The sequence below is a fragment of the Homo sapiens genome, chromosome 1 (genome assembly GCF_000001405.40).
Source record: "Homo sapiens chromosome 1, GRCh38.p14 Primary Assembly".
In the NCBI taxonomy this organism is placed as follows: domain Eukaryota; kingdom Metazoa; phylum Chordata; class Mammalia; order Primates; family Hominidae; genus Homo; species Homo sapiens.
The window spans coordinates 244230066-244245381 of NC_000001.11; the positions used below are offsets into that span (position 1 = coordinate 244230066).

Genomic DNA, 15316 nt, shown 5'->3' on the forward strand with positions numbered 1-15316 from the left:
TCCTACAAGCCTTGCTGTGACCTGGGTAGTTCCAACTCCCAGACTCAGGAGAGACAAGGAACAGGGGGATGGGGCAGGAGGGGGAGGTAGGAAGAGAAGGCGAGGCATGGGCACATTAGCAGGGAGCCAAGCAGGACAAGGGGTCAGAAGAAGGGTGGAGAGAGGATGCAAAGGATAGGTCTGAGGCTGGGGAGTGACATGTGACGTGGAGCTGGACGTGTCATGTGTGATCATGCATCCATCTTTTTTCTTTTAAGAGATGAGGTCTTGCTCTGTTGCCCAGGCTGGAGTGCAGTGCCATGATAACAGCTCACAACAGCTTTGAACTCCTGGGCTCAAGTCATCCTTCTGCCCCAGCCTCCCCACGAGCTGAGATTACAGGTGCACTCCACTATGCTGGACTAATTTTCTTTGTTTGCGGCAGAGATGGAGGTCTCACTATGTTTCCCAGGCTGCTCTCAAACTGCTGGCCTCAAACAATCCTCCTGCCTCAGCCTCCCAACATGCTGGGATTATTAGACACGCATCTGTCCTTTAAATATGCATATTCTCTGTCCTTAAAATAGGGCTGGGAGCAGCTGTGGCAGTGAGAATACCGTCCCACTCATCCACCCACTCACTCCTTCGCTCCCTTAGCAGGCAGTTATCAAATCTTCACTTCATGCAGACAACGTGTTGGGGACAGAATGATGGGCAAAGCAGACAGTCCATAGCCTCCAGAGAGTCCACGGCGGGAGAAAACCCTCCATATAACAGTCCTAGCTGCATAGACGCTCCATCCGGCAGGTGCTAAGAAGGGAAAGGAGAGGGGCTTCCAGCGGGCACGGGCTGGAGAGTCCACCCCCAGTCTCCCCTGCTGCCACCTTTCTTCGGTGACTTCACTGTCCTGAATGGCCAGGCCTCTTCCTCCCTGAGGAGGGAAAAAGAGCAGAAAACCAATGATCTGTGTGATATCTGGACACTGGTGATATCTGGGCCTCAGACCCAGAACAGCTGGGCCAGGCTTCAATGACAGGGGTCCAGGGATATGGCCCAGGAGCCCGGTGAGTTTCTGCCCCGTCCCACCTTCCCCAGGTGGGAATAACAAAAGTAACGCTGCTTCCCTGAGTGCTTCATGGAGTCCTCACAGACGAGGGCTGGTGGATCAGGAGTTACATACTCCATTTCATAGATTAGGAAACTAAGACCAGACAGGGCAAGAAACCTGGCCAAGGTTTCACAATTGCTCAGAGGTGAAGTTGGAAGCTGACTCAACAGCCCAGTGGCCTCCTATCCCCGGGTGCGCTGCCTCCGGACCTGGCTTCCTGGGGCCCTGGCCAGTTTGCTTGGAGGTTTCCCAGACGCCCTGTTCGCCCTCCCAGCCAGCCACAGCCGAGTCCTGGGTGAGCCCATGAGAAGAGGCCCCAGGACCCTCTAAAGCAGGCACTGGGGGAGACCCAAGCAGAGTCAAATGCTGAGCTCTTGGCCGGGGGGCAGGAATCTCCAGCTCCCTCCTCCCTTTTGGCAGCAACAAGTGTGAGGGTTCCCCTCCCCCCGACCCCTATCCATTGTAGCAGGGCGCTGCAGAGCAGCTGGCAAACACAGAACCAAACACCTGTGTGCCAGATATTACAGCTGCATGTGTGAAACGCGATCCGTCTGCAGCGCCTGTCACATGGCGGGTCCAGTTGTTGCACTCGGGGCGGGTTGGAAAAGGAACCATGGGAGAGAACTTTCAGTGGCAGAATTTCAAAGCTCAGGCACCCACCGTCCCCTTCCTCCCACCCCCAGCATTTTATTCGCTCCTCTTTTTTGGCACTCGGCATTTCCGGCTGAGTTTGCCTTTCACTAATTCCCCAGCGGTGACAGTGCTGGGAGTTGAATCCTCCGCAGGGTGACACACACTGCACGACAATAATACAGCTACTTAGCGTGCTCCGAGGGCTCTTCATCTTCAAAGCAGTTGTTTCACGACTTGCTCCAAGGGCTGCACATCTGGCGGAAACGTTTGTGGATCCCGGGTTGGTGGGGTGCCTTCAAAGCTGGGGTGCCTGGAGGACACCCAGAGACATCCTGCAGTTGGGCTTAGCACCTCCTCCCTGGTGAGGTCTCATCCCCGTCGCTGCCAGTGTGTCTATTCCAAAGTCTCGGGCTCTTCACCTGCTTCGCAGAGACATGTTCGTTTTCTGCCAGAATCACTTTCAGGGCTTTGGTTGATGTCACCAATTAGCCTGCATATGGAAAAGGGGGAAAAATAGGACATTTCACAGGTGCTAAAGAGGGTGGGAAGGGGAAGGAGACAAGAAGAAAGGAACCAGTTGTTTCCGGATATTAACTCACAGAAGGTCTTTCCCCAGAAGGTGGCTTTCCCCAGAAGTGGGATAAAAGATTTTCACCCACTACCAGCTAGGAGGCATTTACCATGGTGGAACAGAAAAGAGGAAATAAAATCCAAAATAGAAAAGCATACCTCAAATATATCCACCTGACCTGAATACCACAAACTCCGTGAGACCTCAAATTTCTTGGGGTTTTGGACTAGCCAGGAAATAGGAGATTGTTATTACATGTAAGAGACACCTGTCTATCAAAACCAAGTGCTTTACACAAGTTATCCTGTTTATTCATCAATCAATCAAGTAACATTTATTCAGTCAATCCTCACTACAACCTTTTGTGGTAGTTTCTATTATTACTCCCAATTTACAGGGAAAAAAGTCAAGGTTCAGGAAATTAAGTGAAATTTAGTGAATTTGTGAAAGGTCCTCTAGATAGTAAGTTGGCAGAGAAAGATCTGAGACCAGAACAGAGATCTGGACCCCAAAGTGAATGAATGCACCAGAACTCTGGTTGGTTCTCCCCACGGTCCTAAAACACTAGGCTTGGGTGACGTCAGCGGGGGAGAGGGCCAAACGCAGATTGACGCACCACCCGACATGCTCAAAGGAGAAACCTCAGATTCATATTTTCCAAAGTTCTCACCTGTCTCTCCTCAACTTTCCCTTCAACTAAACACAAAACACATCATGAAATCCCATCTCTACTAACAAAATACAAAAAATTAGCCGGGCATGGTAGCGCACGCCTGTAGTCCCAGCTACTCAGGAGGCTGAGCTGGGAGGATCACCTGAGCCCAGGAAGTAGAGGCTGTGGTGAGCTGAGATAGCACCACTGCACTCCAGCCTGGGTAACGAGAGTGAGACCCTGTCTCAAACAAACAAACAAACTAACTAAATAAATAAATAAAAACAAATAAACAGATAAATAAATAAAATTGTAATTCCAGAAGTCATTTTATACGAACCCAAATTAGTTTTTTTACCTTTTCACTTTGAAAAAAAATTACATGGAAACTATGTCTGTTTGCCCCATCGTCCCCCTTCCTGCACGTCATCACCACCGTCAGCCCTGTTGCCACAAAAGGTGGCACTTTCTTGGTCCTGTACAGAATGTAATTTTCACTTGCCCCTGGAAAATCAATATGGAAAGGCTCTAATTCCCCAGATCTCGATTTTTCAATAAAAAAGTGAAAATGAAACTCTGCGGGATTGCAGCCAAAATGGTGCCCTGAGCCAACCGCAGTCTGGAGGGAGACTCAGAGTTTCAGAGAAAACACCAACTTTTGACATTGTTCTGCTCAGATGACCCATCAGATGGGAGCAGAAGCCAGTGTCTAGGGGTCTATGACATAGACCGGGGTCTATGAGACTCGGCAGTGCTCCTTCCAGAAAGGCTTCTCACTCCAGAGGGATTCGGGGCAAAACTCTGCCTGTCCCGAGGTGCTACTGAGGGCCGGGATAGTAACAGGGAAAAGCTTAACTTTGGACCCAAAACATCCATGAGTTAAAATTCTGTCTCCATCATATTATAATGGCTACTTTCTGCTTAGCAGCTCTGATGATCTGATTTCGTCAACCCAAAGGAGGAGGAGGAAGAGGAGGAGAGAAGCTGAAGTTGTTGATTGAGCTCTCAGCGTTGACATGAGGAGTCCATGAAACAATCTACAGGAAGGCACCCCAAACGAAGCCTGGCTGGGAGTAGACATTCAATAGGGTGCATTTCCTTCCTGCCGCCACCCCCTCTGTCCCTAGAATTGAGGTTGAACAACTGATACCCTTCAGTACCTAGTGTTGTCAGTGGAGGGCCACAGTGAACTATTCAGTCCCCTACCCTAGGGCCTCCTAATCCCCCCACGATGGTGACAGACATAATGAAAGTGCCGTCGCCTATCTGCAGACTCTGTGACCAGACACCCTCCAAAGCAAAATCACCAAGGGCTCTTCTACAGCTCTTTCTGTGGCTGTTTTAACACTGACACCTGAGAAAGAAGAGCAGCCCCCAGCTTGAGACCTCATCCTGTAACAGGAGCTGGGCTTCCTGGCTGCTGCTGCTGCTGCTGCGTGCCCCAGGACAGCTCAGCCCGAGCCAAGCGCAGTGCCTGCCATTAGAGTGCGAGTCCCAGGACGCTTGGCTGCTGCCACCTGATCCTGGGTGGGTCACGTAGCTTCTGGGTGCTTCAGCGTCCTCAGCTGTCGAACAGGTTAATAATAGTGAGGCATGCTCTGACCCAGCGCAGTGGGGTTTAGCCAAGAGAAGCCTCCCTGACAAGTTCAATGATGGGAAAAAAAGAGACGACATTTTAAAGAACAAAACCACATAGCATTGAAGTTTGTTATTTCATGCTTATGTTCCTCTTGTGCCCCAAAGCAAAGGAAAGGGAATATTTAAGGTCCCCGAGATAACACACACCCACTTCTCCAGGTTTCCTGGTGTCTCTCTGTTGAATACGGCTCAGTCTTATGAGTTGCTTTCTTGCCAACCCCAGTAGCTTCCAAACCTGTGACCTGGAGGCTGTGCAGTGAGGGAGGAGGCAGGAGAGGGAAGGAATGGAGTGGAGGCTGGCTGTTGCAGGCAACCGCACAGGGTTTTAATGACTGCCCCGCCACCTCCACTTCCAGGTTCACCAAGACTCTATGCAATGGGAGAGGGGTAATTCCTCAGGAATTGTTATCATCAGAAAATGAAGGGATGGATTCTAGAGGGGTGCAAATAATTGATGCCAAGTACGATATAAAAGCATTGCTGAATTTTTTTAGGAAAACAAAAATAAGCAAACAAGTCTGCCTCCCCACACATGAATAGAACCAATTTGATTGACATGAAGAACTGGGGCCTTGAAGACAGTGTTTTCTGGCTAGGCATGGAGACAGGGACCATTGGCCACTAGTGCTTTGGGATTTCCTGAGTGGGAATGCCAGAGATTACTAAAGATTCAGCTGAGACAAGAGCCTCCTAAGCCACACCCATGGAGTTGCTCATCCAACCTTATCTAACAGCAAGAAGTTGGAAACAACCTAAATATCTATCAATAGAAAACTGACTAGGTCACACATACAATGCCATACTACTGTTCCATTAAAGGCTATTAAAAATGGGCTGGGCACGGTGACTCACGCCTGTAATCCCTGCACTTTGGGAGGCCAAGGCCAGTGGGTCACCTGAGGTCAGGAGTTCGAGACCAGCCTGGCCAACACGGCAAAACCTTCTCTCTATTTAAAAAAAAAAAAAAGCTACTAAAGAGAAAAAAAGAAAAAATAAAGATTCACACATAGAAAGATGCCCCCATAATATAGTATCAAGCAAAGAAATCAGTTTATATAAATTGTATGATATTATCCCATGTAGGTGAAAGGGAATCCACACATCTACGTTGCGTATATATTGAGAGGTATCCTGAAAGATGTTTGCAAAAATGTTACTGCAGCTTCTTCACGGGATAAGATCTTGACTGATCATTTTTCTTTCTTCCTTGTTCTCTTCTGCATTACTTGACTGTTCCTTTCCTTACAAAGAGCACTTACTTTTTTAAAAAAAGCACTATTAAAAATCCATCTCTGTAAGAAGTAACTTTCATCTTTTTATCTTGGTGGAAGTTTGTGATTGAATAGTGAGAAGGGCATTGAACATCTTCTTGATCTTCCAAGATATACTCTGATTAATAGAGAATAAAGCCCTCTCTGATTTCCTAATATCACATAAAATACCAAGGAGAAGGAAAGTAAGGTAGGAGGTCATCGAAAGTATTTCCTTTGACTCTGAGAAATCCTCTGTCCCAACTCTCTTGCAAAGAAAACTAAACTAGCACATACCGTATAAGGTCTGTTTTTCCATAGCCATGTCCTCCCCCTTTTCCTTTAGCACTTTTGTTCAAACATGTATTGAACCGGTGGGATATGCAAGACCTTCTCTTGGGAACTCATCAGCTCGTCTGGGACCTATGCTTTGTTTCAGGCTTAGTACTTAAAACAGTCACAGAGGCCAAGGTCATGGTGAAGGAAGCTGACTACCCAACTGGGGTCTTCTCGTCGGTGGAGTGAGTCAGCACTGATTACAGAGCATCTGAGGCCTCTCAGAGTGAAGTACATTTGCAAAGTAGTCCCTCCTCTGCACTCACATGCACAGTCTGGAGAGTCAGGTTGTCATCATTCACTCAACATCCATTCATTCAGTATTTACTGAGTGCCCACTGACCGTCAGGATGGTGCTGGGAGCTAGGTCCAAAGCGGCGAGCTAAGTACAATCTCTGTCCTCAAGGAGCTTACATCTTAGCGGGAGAAGTTGGACAATTAAACACATGCACACACACTTTAGGAGGTAATAAGTGCGATGCAGGAAGGCCAAATGGGGTAAGGAGACAGAGTGACAGGGTGGCTGGTGCTAGATAGGGTTGTCAGGAAGGTCCCATTGGATAAAATGACCTCTGAATGGAGACCTGAGAAACGTGAGGGACTGAGGATGAGGACACCGGAGGTAAGAACATTCCAGGCCGGGGAGCAGTATGTGCAAAGGCCCTGTGGGAATGTTTGCTCAACGCATTCCAGGAACTACAAGCAAGTCAGTGTGGCTGAAGGAGAGCAACCAAGCAGAGTGGGTAGGAAGCAGGCCACCCGAGCGTGGAGAGGCCTAGCCCTGCAGGGCTCCATGGGCTGTTGCAGGGACTTGGCATTACGTCCTGAGTGGGATGGAAAACACTAGAAGAGTTTTAAGTAGTTACATGATCTAACATAGTGGAGGCTGCATTTTTTTCCTTTTTTTTTTTCAAGACAGGGTCTCACTCTGTCACCCAGGCTGCCATGCAGTAGCATGACCACAGCTCGCTGCAGCCTCAACCTCCGATCTCAGGTGATCCTCCCACCTCAGCCTCCCTGGTAACCGGGACTACAAGTGTCCACCACTACGCCCAGCTAATTTGTTGTATTTTTTGTAGAGATGGGGTTTCACGATGTTGCTCAGGCTCTCAAATTCCTGGGCTCAATCCATCTGCCCTCCCTGGCTTCCCAGTGTGCTGGGGTTTCAGGTGTGAGCCACCGTGCACTGGCCATGCATTTTGTTTTTTCTAGAAACAGTGGAGAAAAGAAAAGATACCAAATAAATAAGAATTAAGAGACATAATTTTTTAAAAGAAAGAGACTGTCCAAAAGGACTCCAAACACTGCTGTGGGTTTCCTACTTTGCATAACAGTAATTCATTTACCTTGTATGAATGAATGCCTTTCCTCAAAAAGTATCATAAACAGTATTCAGGCAATGGTCTTGGAAAGCAGAACTTGCCTCAAGATGACAATAGGAGCCTTGAGCAAAGCAGTACGTCCCAATGAGTCACCAGGGACTTTTCCGTCCTTCTTTGCCAGAGTGAAGGCCATTTCCATCTCCTTTCTCCGAACCCACCTTAAAGATGAGAATGAGCCGGCCGGGCGCAGTGGCTCACGCCTGTAATCCCAGCACTCTGGGAGGCCGAGGCGGGCAGATCACAATGTCAAGAGATCAAGACCATCCTGGCCCACATGGTGAAACCCCATCTCTACTAAAAATACAAAAATTACCTGGGCTTAGCGGCAGGTGCCTGTAGTCCCAGCTACTGGGGAGACTGAGGCAGGAGAATCACTTGAATCTGGGAGGCGGAGGTTGCAGTGAGCCGAGATCGCACCACTGCTCTACAGCCTTGCAACAGAGCAAGACTCTGTCTCAAATAAATAAATAATAAAACATAAGAATGAGTCTGAGGTGTACCCTTGGTTTCTTCTTTCTGTAAGTCCAGAGTCATCCATCCTGTCACGTTTTATTTTTAGCACTAAATTAATTTTTTAAATCTATTAATGAAATTAACAATAGCTAATATTTATTTGGTATCTACCACATGCTTTATAAATATTACTAATTTAAATTGTTATAAGAACCCTTTTCGTCCAACAATCGGGGCATGGAAGATAAAAGAAAAAAAGAACCTTTCAATACCATTATTACCCCCATTTTAGTGTCCAGGACATTGAGATGCGCAAAGGCTGAAAATACTTGCACCCAGTTTTATCTGTGGGTCATAGCAGAGCTGGAATTTAAACCTACTGCTGTCTGAATATAAATCCTGTGTTCTTAGCCAGTAAGCTATACCGCCCCTAACCAACGTGCAGGGCCAGAGTCCAACAGGGATATATAAGCATAGATCCTAGTTGCTTGAATTCAGAGACTAGTTGGAGCCAAGACCAACATAGAGAACCGAAAAGGGAGAGGGTAGCCGTGTACCTGTGGGAGCGGTCAGACCCCAGAAGGAAGGCTTTGGGGAGCAAGTGCAGCAGGGGCCAAGGTGTCAAGGGTTATTCATTGTTAAGTATTCACTGTTGCCATGGGTAGTATGCACATCTGACAACCCTTCAAGCAGTGTGCATGCAGCTGTGTGAACATGTGTGTCTCCACTCAACTTGGGCCAACTAGGAGTAAGACCTTCTTCCATTAGTGAAGAAAGTATATTTAGCTGGGCATGGTGGCTCTCGCCTATAATCCCAGCACTTTGGGAGGCCGAAGTAGGCAGATCACTTGAGGTCAGGAGTTTGAGCCCAGCCTGGCTAACATGGTGAAACCCTGTCTCTACTAAAGATACAAAAATTAGATGAGCGTGGTGACAGGCTTCTGTAGTCTCAGCTACTCAGGAGGCTGAGGTGGGAGAATCACTTGAACCCGGGAAGCAGAGGTTGCAGTGACCTGAGATCACGCCACTGCACTCCAGCCTGGGCAACAGAGTGAGACTGTCTCAAAAAAAAAAAAGAAAGAAAGAAAAAGAAAGTATGTTTGGACACCTAACAGCAACTAAGTTCTCAGCTCAAGAAGTCTGGAGCTTGATGAGGTGAGCCCTTAAGTCGATTTTTCTAGTAGCTTCCGTCTATGGAGCACTCATTCTGATCCAGGCACTCCGCGATGCACTTGCCAAACATGAGTGTAATCTAATCCTCACTGCCTGAGGAGCTGGTTTCTCCATTTTGCAGATGAGCTGAGTAAGGTGACCAAGGTCTTACGGCTTAGAGATGTAAGAGCTGTGACCCTATCCCGGCTGATTCAAAGGCCAGTGTCTTAATCTGATGTGTGCTTCCTAATTTCTAGGCACTCAGACTATACTCAGGGTAGTATAAGCAGTGTATGTGTGCATGTGTGTGTGTGAGAGAGAGAGAAAGAAAGAGAGAGAGAGAGAGAGCTCTAACAGGCACTGGAAATCCAGGCAGAGGGCAGGCCCAGACTTGTCCCCTCTAGCAGTACACACAGAGGAGAGAGGTTTGGGGCTTTAATCCCCATCTGAAGTTCTGCCACTGTTTATAGAACTACCTTGCACAGTCACTCTCAGAACAAAGCTTTTGCTCAAAGAAGCCCACACCCTCAGGCTGGGCAGGTGTGTCTGAGGCTGGGTTTCCTGCCATAGACATCCTGGCCATTTCGGCAGCAGCTGTACCCCAGGACCTCCATGGATGCCTCTCCTGCCTCCCTGCCCTGCTCCACTCATCTGGGCTCACAGGATGGGTTCAGCTCTCTAGGTTCTTCATCCAAGGTCTCATCCCAGCCCTGAATGCTCATGGGAGACCGTCAGCAATGGTGAAACCACCAAGATGCTGAAAAGAGATGCCCTGGTGGGTCCAGGCCTCTCAACCAAAAAGACTCGAAAGCCCTTTCCTTTCGACAGGTTCCTTCTAACCTAGAGGATGATGGCCTCTTACCTTCCAGCCTTGGAATGCATCCAACCATCACTTACTGAGCATCCATAAGTCCTATTTCTTGTTGTTTTTAAAAATAAAAGAAAGAGGCTGGGTGCGGTGGCTCATGCCTGCAATCCCAGTACTTTGGGAGGCCAAAAAGGGAGGATCGGTAGAGGCCACAAGTTTTGAGACCAGCCTGGGCAACATAACAAGATCCTGTTTCTAAAAAATAAAAAGAAAAGAAAAAGCCAAGTGTGGTGATGCCACAGTAGCCAGGAGTAGGCCTGTAGTCCCAGCTACTCAGGAGGCTGAGGTGTGAGGGTCACTTGAATCCAGGACTTCGAGGGTACAGTGAGGTACGTGACTGTATGATCACACCACTGTGCTGTACTCCAGCCTGGGTGACAGAGCAAGACCCAAGACCCAATCTCAAAAAAAAGAGAGAGAGAGAAAGAGAGTATTTATTTCCTCTTAGATGTAAAAGGCTTTGTCTATTCACCTTGGTATGTGACCTTGTTTGCTATGAGTAGGTATCTGAAACTCTTAATTTATTTGAGTCAACTTAAATCAAGCTGATCTGCAAATTTTAGAAGTTTCCTGTGTGTTGTAAAGCACACAAGTATGATCCTCTTTATGTAGAAGGGAATCCACACTCCGGCATTGTATGTATGCATTGGGAGGTATCCTGAAAGATGTTCCCCAAGATGTCATGTGTGGTTTTCTTCAGAGGATGAGATCTTGAGTGGCTTTTTTCTTTTGTCCTTGTTCTCTCCTGCATTGTTCAGGAAAGTGCTAGGCAGAGAAAGATAAGCACCATCACCCCTTTACCCTTTCAAACCTTTCCCACTGGAGCACCTACTGGCACAGACCAGAGTCAATCTGAGTGCCTAACATAACCCAACAAAAAGGCAGGCTTCTTTGAAAGCTTGTGTTCATTCTTAAACGTCATGTAAATGTTGTATTATACTCCACAATATACTGTTTAAGCCTAAAAGTGTTCTTGGTTATTTACCATCAAGCAGAATTAATGCTCCAGGAAAATACTCCAGATTTATCCTGTGGCTCTCTCCATGTCTCCAGTGTAGATTGTCAGGACTTATAGGACTGGGGCCACTCTGAGCAGCAAGGAGGTGATAGTCTGTCCAAATCAGGGTTCCAAAACTTTCGGATTCTCTACTAGTCTCCTCCAGTTGTAGAAAGCTCCCTGGCAAGGGATGCAGAGCTCTTTAAATCTGGAAGTGCTAGTCAGGTAAGCTTGAAATGGGCTTTCTTCAAAAGAGGTATTAGAATTCTTTAACTAGGGGTGCTCAGGAAAACTTGCAAGCTCTAGAAAAATCTGCTGCATTAATAATTCCACTCCAATCCTTGATAAGGTCCTCTAGCTATCTCAAACATGCCTCTGGCCCCTTGGACTAGGGATTTATGCTTGTTGACTTTTTTTCTATTTTCTGGATTTTCAGGACCCAACAAAACTTGTTTGACCAGTCAGGTGAAACTAGTCTTTAAACCTTAATGACCCGGATTAGCCATCTTGAGACCAACAGCTGATATCACTGACAGTGGCCAAGACACAATGCAAGGTGGTGCATGACCTAAGCCCTCGTCAAGCTATGGTCAATGCATGGCCCAGACTTAATGGCCTGTGACTTCAGGAATAGTCGCATGCACTCTATTTTCAGGCGATATGTGTCCCACTTTGGGATTATCTCACAGTTAATACAGATGGAAAAGTCTATTGGGTGCCCATACAAATATTCTGGTCTAGTTTCTAGTTCTCACTTTATATCTGACCACATGATTTAATTACTGAGGTTGAAACAAAGACTGGCCCTAGCCCATTTATACTGGAGAATGACTCGGGCAGGTTCACTTGGACTTTGACACAAATCGCCATTCCATTGGAGTGTGGCTAAAAATGTTTCTGGGCGTCTCAGGACAAGCAAACTCCCTTTAAAGTTGGTTTTATTTCTGGGAAGACTACTAAAACACACATGGCCAATTTTTATTTTTTAATTAAATGAAGACATTTTAAAATTAATAAAATGTACACGAGGGCATCTGATGCTGTTCCTTATGCTTTCCCTCTCTATCTGGCATGTGGTCAAGGTCGTGCTATATAAACTAAAGTAATAGGACCTTTTGTGGGGTGCTGGGTTGTTCAGCCGTCAATGCCAAAGGGCTTTGGCAGCAAGAGAGAGCAGGGACACTAAGCAGAAATATCACAGTCAACTTGCTTTTTTCATTAAGATGGTGATAATAGAAGGATGGAAGTAATACATTGTCAAAAGCACAGAACTGTTGCTCCTCCTCACACACTGGAAATATTATTGATATCTGAAATCACCTGGTTTAAAAAAAAAAAAAAAGAAATGCAGAAAAAAAGTTTTCTTTAAACTGGATTTTTTTAAGGCTAAAAATGTGTTATTTTCTAGAAGTTAATAAATCACTATGTGACTTTGGTTCAGGTTTTCTGGAAGAATCTCTCTTTGGATTGGTATCAGTTAAGAATGCATTTGGCTACGCGTAACAGAAAACATTGCTATAGAAACGGAAAGAACCAGGGCTTGCTTTCTCACACAGGAAAGAAGTGTGGGGGTTGTAGTCAGGGCAGGTCTGGCTGCTCAGTGAGATGTTCTCGGGGACCCAGGTTCTTTTCATCTTTCTACTCCTCACTTATTCTTAACATCGTCAGGCTTTCCATCTCATTTACTGAATGTCATCTGTATATTTTGACATCTGCATTCTAGGAGGAAGAGCAAAGGGTGAAAAGAGAGCTTCCCCTTGGTAAAGCTTAGTCTTTTGACTTAAAAAGTACATGTTCTCCAAGGACCTCTTCCCATATCTCAAGACTGGAACTGTATTAAATGGATTCCATCAGCTGCACAAAGGCTGAGAAAAAGAGCCCTGTGAGCTATGTTGCTACCCCATATAAAATTGGGCTTTCTAAGTAAGGATGCCTGAGGGAGATGGAGATGTTGGGTGAACAATTAGCAGTATCCGTCACAGTGGCTGGGACCTGGTAAGGAATCTTGGTACCTGTATAAAAGTCAGGATCCGGCCGGGTGCGGTGGCTCATGCCTGCCTGTAATCCCAGTGCTTTAGGAGGCCGAGGCAGGCGGATCACCTGAGGTCGGGAGTTCGAGGTCAGCCTTACCAACATGGAGAAACCCCGTCTCTACTAAAAATACAAAATTAGCCGCGCGTGGTGGCACACGCCTGTAATCCCAGCTACTCGGGAGGCTGAGGCAGGAGAATCGCTTGAACCTGGGAAGCGGAGGTTGTGGGGTGAGCAGAGATTGAGCCATTGCACTCCAGCCTGGGCAACAGGAGTGAAACTCTGTCTCAAAAATAAATAAATAAATAAATAAATAGCTGGGCATGGTGGTATAATCCTCGCTACTCAGGAGGCTGAGATGGAAGGCTTGAATGAGTCCCCCCCCAAAAAAAAATGGAAAGAAAAGTCAGAATCCATCCTTCCAAACAATGCAAATGGTTTTCCACTGGGTTTGCAGCCAACCAGTGGCTACAGTAATGTGGCATCTGAACAAGGGCCACCAGGTCCCAAGGTCTGTGATGCCTATGGCCTTGAATGAGGAAAAGAGTAAGATTACAGCTGTATCCTCTTATTCCAACCTAATGGTACTTAATGAAATCATTAGCATGCATTACCAGTAAGGTGGCTCATCCATATGGCTCCTGATAAAATACATACCTTTCATTTATAGCTAAGTAAGGGAAGAGATTCCTTGACTCTGTCATTTACGCTTCTTTCTTCTCATGCTGAATGTTACACAAGGCTACTTAAATTCCCTGTTTCCAATGATTTAAACAATTGACTACACTTCTCAGCACTTCTTCCCGGCTCTCAATCTTGTAAAAAATTCTATTCTCCTGACCAGCTTAAAGACCTCCCTAGAATTATGCCCGGCATTGTTCGCCATGCTCCTATTTGGGAAGTTCTTTGTTCAGGACTCATGGGCTCAGGAGACTTTTGAACAATGTCAATGGGCTGCAGGTAAGGCTCAATATTCACATATTTCAAAGTCAGGACTGGCATCTACAAGCACTACTTTACAGATTATTCAAAGCTCATGATTTGCTTAAAGCTGGTGATTTGATTTTAAATTTATGGAAGATTGCACAGTATGACTTACAAATCTCACTACAGGGATTTATAAATGCTGGGCTACTTTTTTAAAATAATAGCTGTACATAATCAAATTGTATTTGGCCTATGCTTGGTTATGACCTTCGGATCTCATAAAAATGCTCCTCTACATAACCAGTCATTTTCTATCTTGAAACTGGGATATTGTGATTTTTTTATTCTAAGTACACAAAATCCACAGGCAAGAGAAAATACCTATTAAAAGAAGGGGAGATGAAAGTGAATTCCTTCTACCAAAACGAAGTAAACCAGGGAGTTAAGAACAGCTAGCAGGATACAAATGTTCATCTTGTATCCACATTCACCCCCAATTTCTAGTTGCTACTTTTCTTCATTACATAAGAAAGTGGGTCACTCATTCTTGGGGAAGGACAGTCTTTTCCAGAGCAAATGAGAATATTTTCTCAATGAGGTAAATATAAGAGAATGGCATATTTGAAGGGCTCCTCTTCCCTGCCCTTGGGAAAAGGGAACCAGGAATAGTGGCGAAGGCAGGTTTTGAGTCCAGGTAGTCTTGTTCCAGAACCCATGCCCTTGACCACTACCCTATACTGTGGGGTTCTCACCATCCAACATGGAGACCAAAGGGCACCCCTGGGTCTCCCATAGCGGGATGGGGAGGGGCTCTCACACCTGTTCTTGGGAGAAGAGGGAAGGGTTGTTTGAGCTGGGCATCCCGGAGCACCCATGCTGGGACCAAGGCGGGTGGATCCTCCTATCAACGTGTAGAGTCAAAGGGAGAAATAGAAAAACAACCAGAAGACAAAAGTTAAGTGCAAAAGGCCAATCAATGAAATCGCTTTCTCATGTGTGAGCAACAGAGCTATAAAAAGAACTTTAAGCAGCTTTTCAGTCAGATCTTTACAGTCTATCCACCCAAGAAACAGCCTCAAAATTCAACTCTCTACTTTTTATTTAGGGCCAATTTTCATTCAGATGTGTCCTTACTGCACCCCTCTCAGGTCAGAATAATCCCCACCCCGCTATCAGGCAAGTTAGGCTGGACAGCCCAACATATATTCAGAGCTCAAGAAATCTTACTGAAAAAGAAGCTCCATCACCATCCTGTATTTCAGAAGCAGCAATCACATAGCCAGCCAAAGTGAAATTAAGAAATTTGCATGTCATTTATTAATATCCTCCTTGTCTGTCA

General features: G+C 46.2%; 1 long non-coding RNA gene across 3 annotated transcripts in view, besides 3 other annotated features; it reads right to left on the bottom strand.

The window, feature by feature from the left end:
• Window positions 1-682: 682 nt before the first annotated feature.
• LOC105373262 (uncharacterized) overlaps window positions 683-15316 on the bottom strand; it is a 94430-nt gene continuing 79796 nt past the window's right edge. For 2 of the 3 annotated variants that reach the window (XR_949343.3, XR_949344.3), the window contains exon 3: window positions 683-2210. This is a non-coding gene — a long non-coding RNA (uncharacterized LOC105373262). The remainder of the gene's footprint in view (window positions 2211-15316) is intronic. The other variant, XR_007066983.1, reaches the window with a different exon arrangement.
• Window positions 9002-10201: an enhancer, noted in NCBI's record as "MED14-independent group 3 enhancer chr1:244402369-244403568 (GRCh37/hg19 assembly coordinates)". NCBI's record gives its function as "activates an origin of replication core promoter dependent on BRD2, BRD4, P300/CBP and CDK7 cofactors, and independent of MED14, by STARR-seq in HCT116 cells {active_cell/tissue: HCT116}" and the evidence as "EXISTENCE:reporter gene assay evidence [ECO:0000049][PMID:35650434]".
• Window positions 9370-9689: an enhancer, noted in NCBI's record as "active region_2834". NCBI's record gives its function as "activates an Ori minimal core promoter by ATAC-STARR-seq in GM12878 lymphoblastoid cells {active_cell/tissue: GM12878}" and the evidence as "EXISTENCE:reporter gene assay evidence [ECO:0000049][PMID:35858748]".
• Window positions 9700-9749: an enhancer, noted in NCBI's record as "active region_2835". NCBI's record gives its function as "activates an Ori minimal core promoter by ATAC-STARR-seq in GM12878 lymphoblastoid cells {active_cell/tissue: GM12878}" and the evidence as "EXISTENCE:reporter gene assay evidence [ECO:0000049][PMID:35858748]".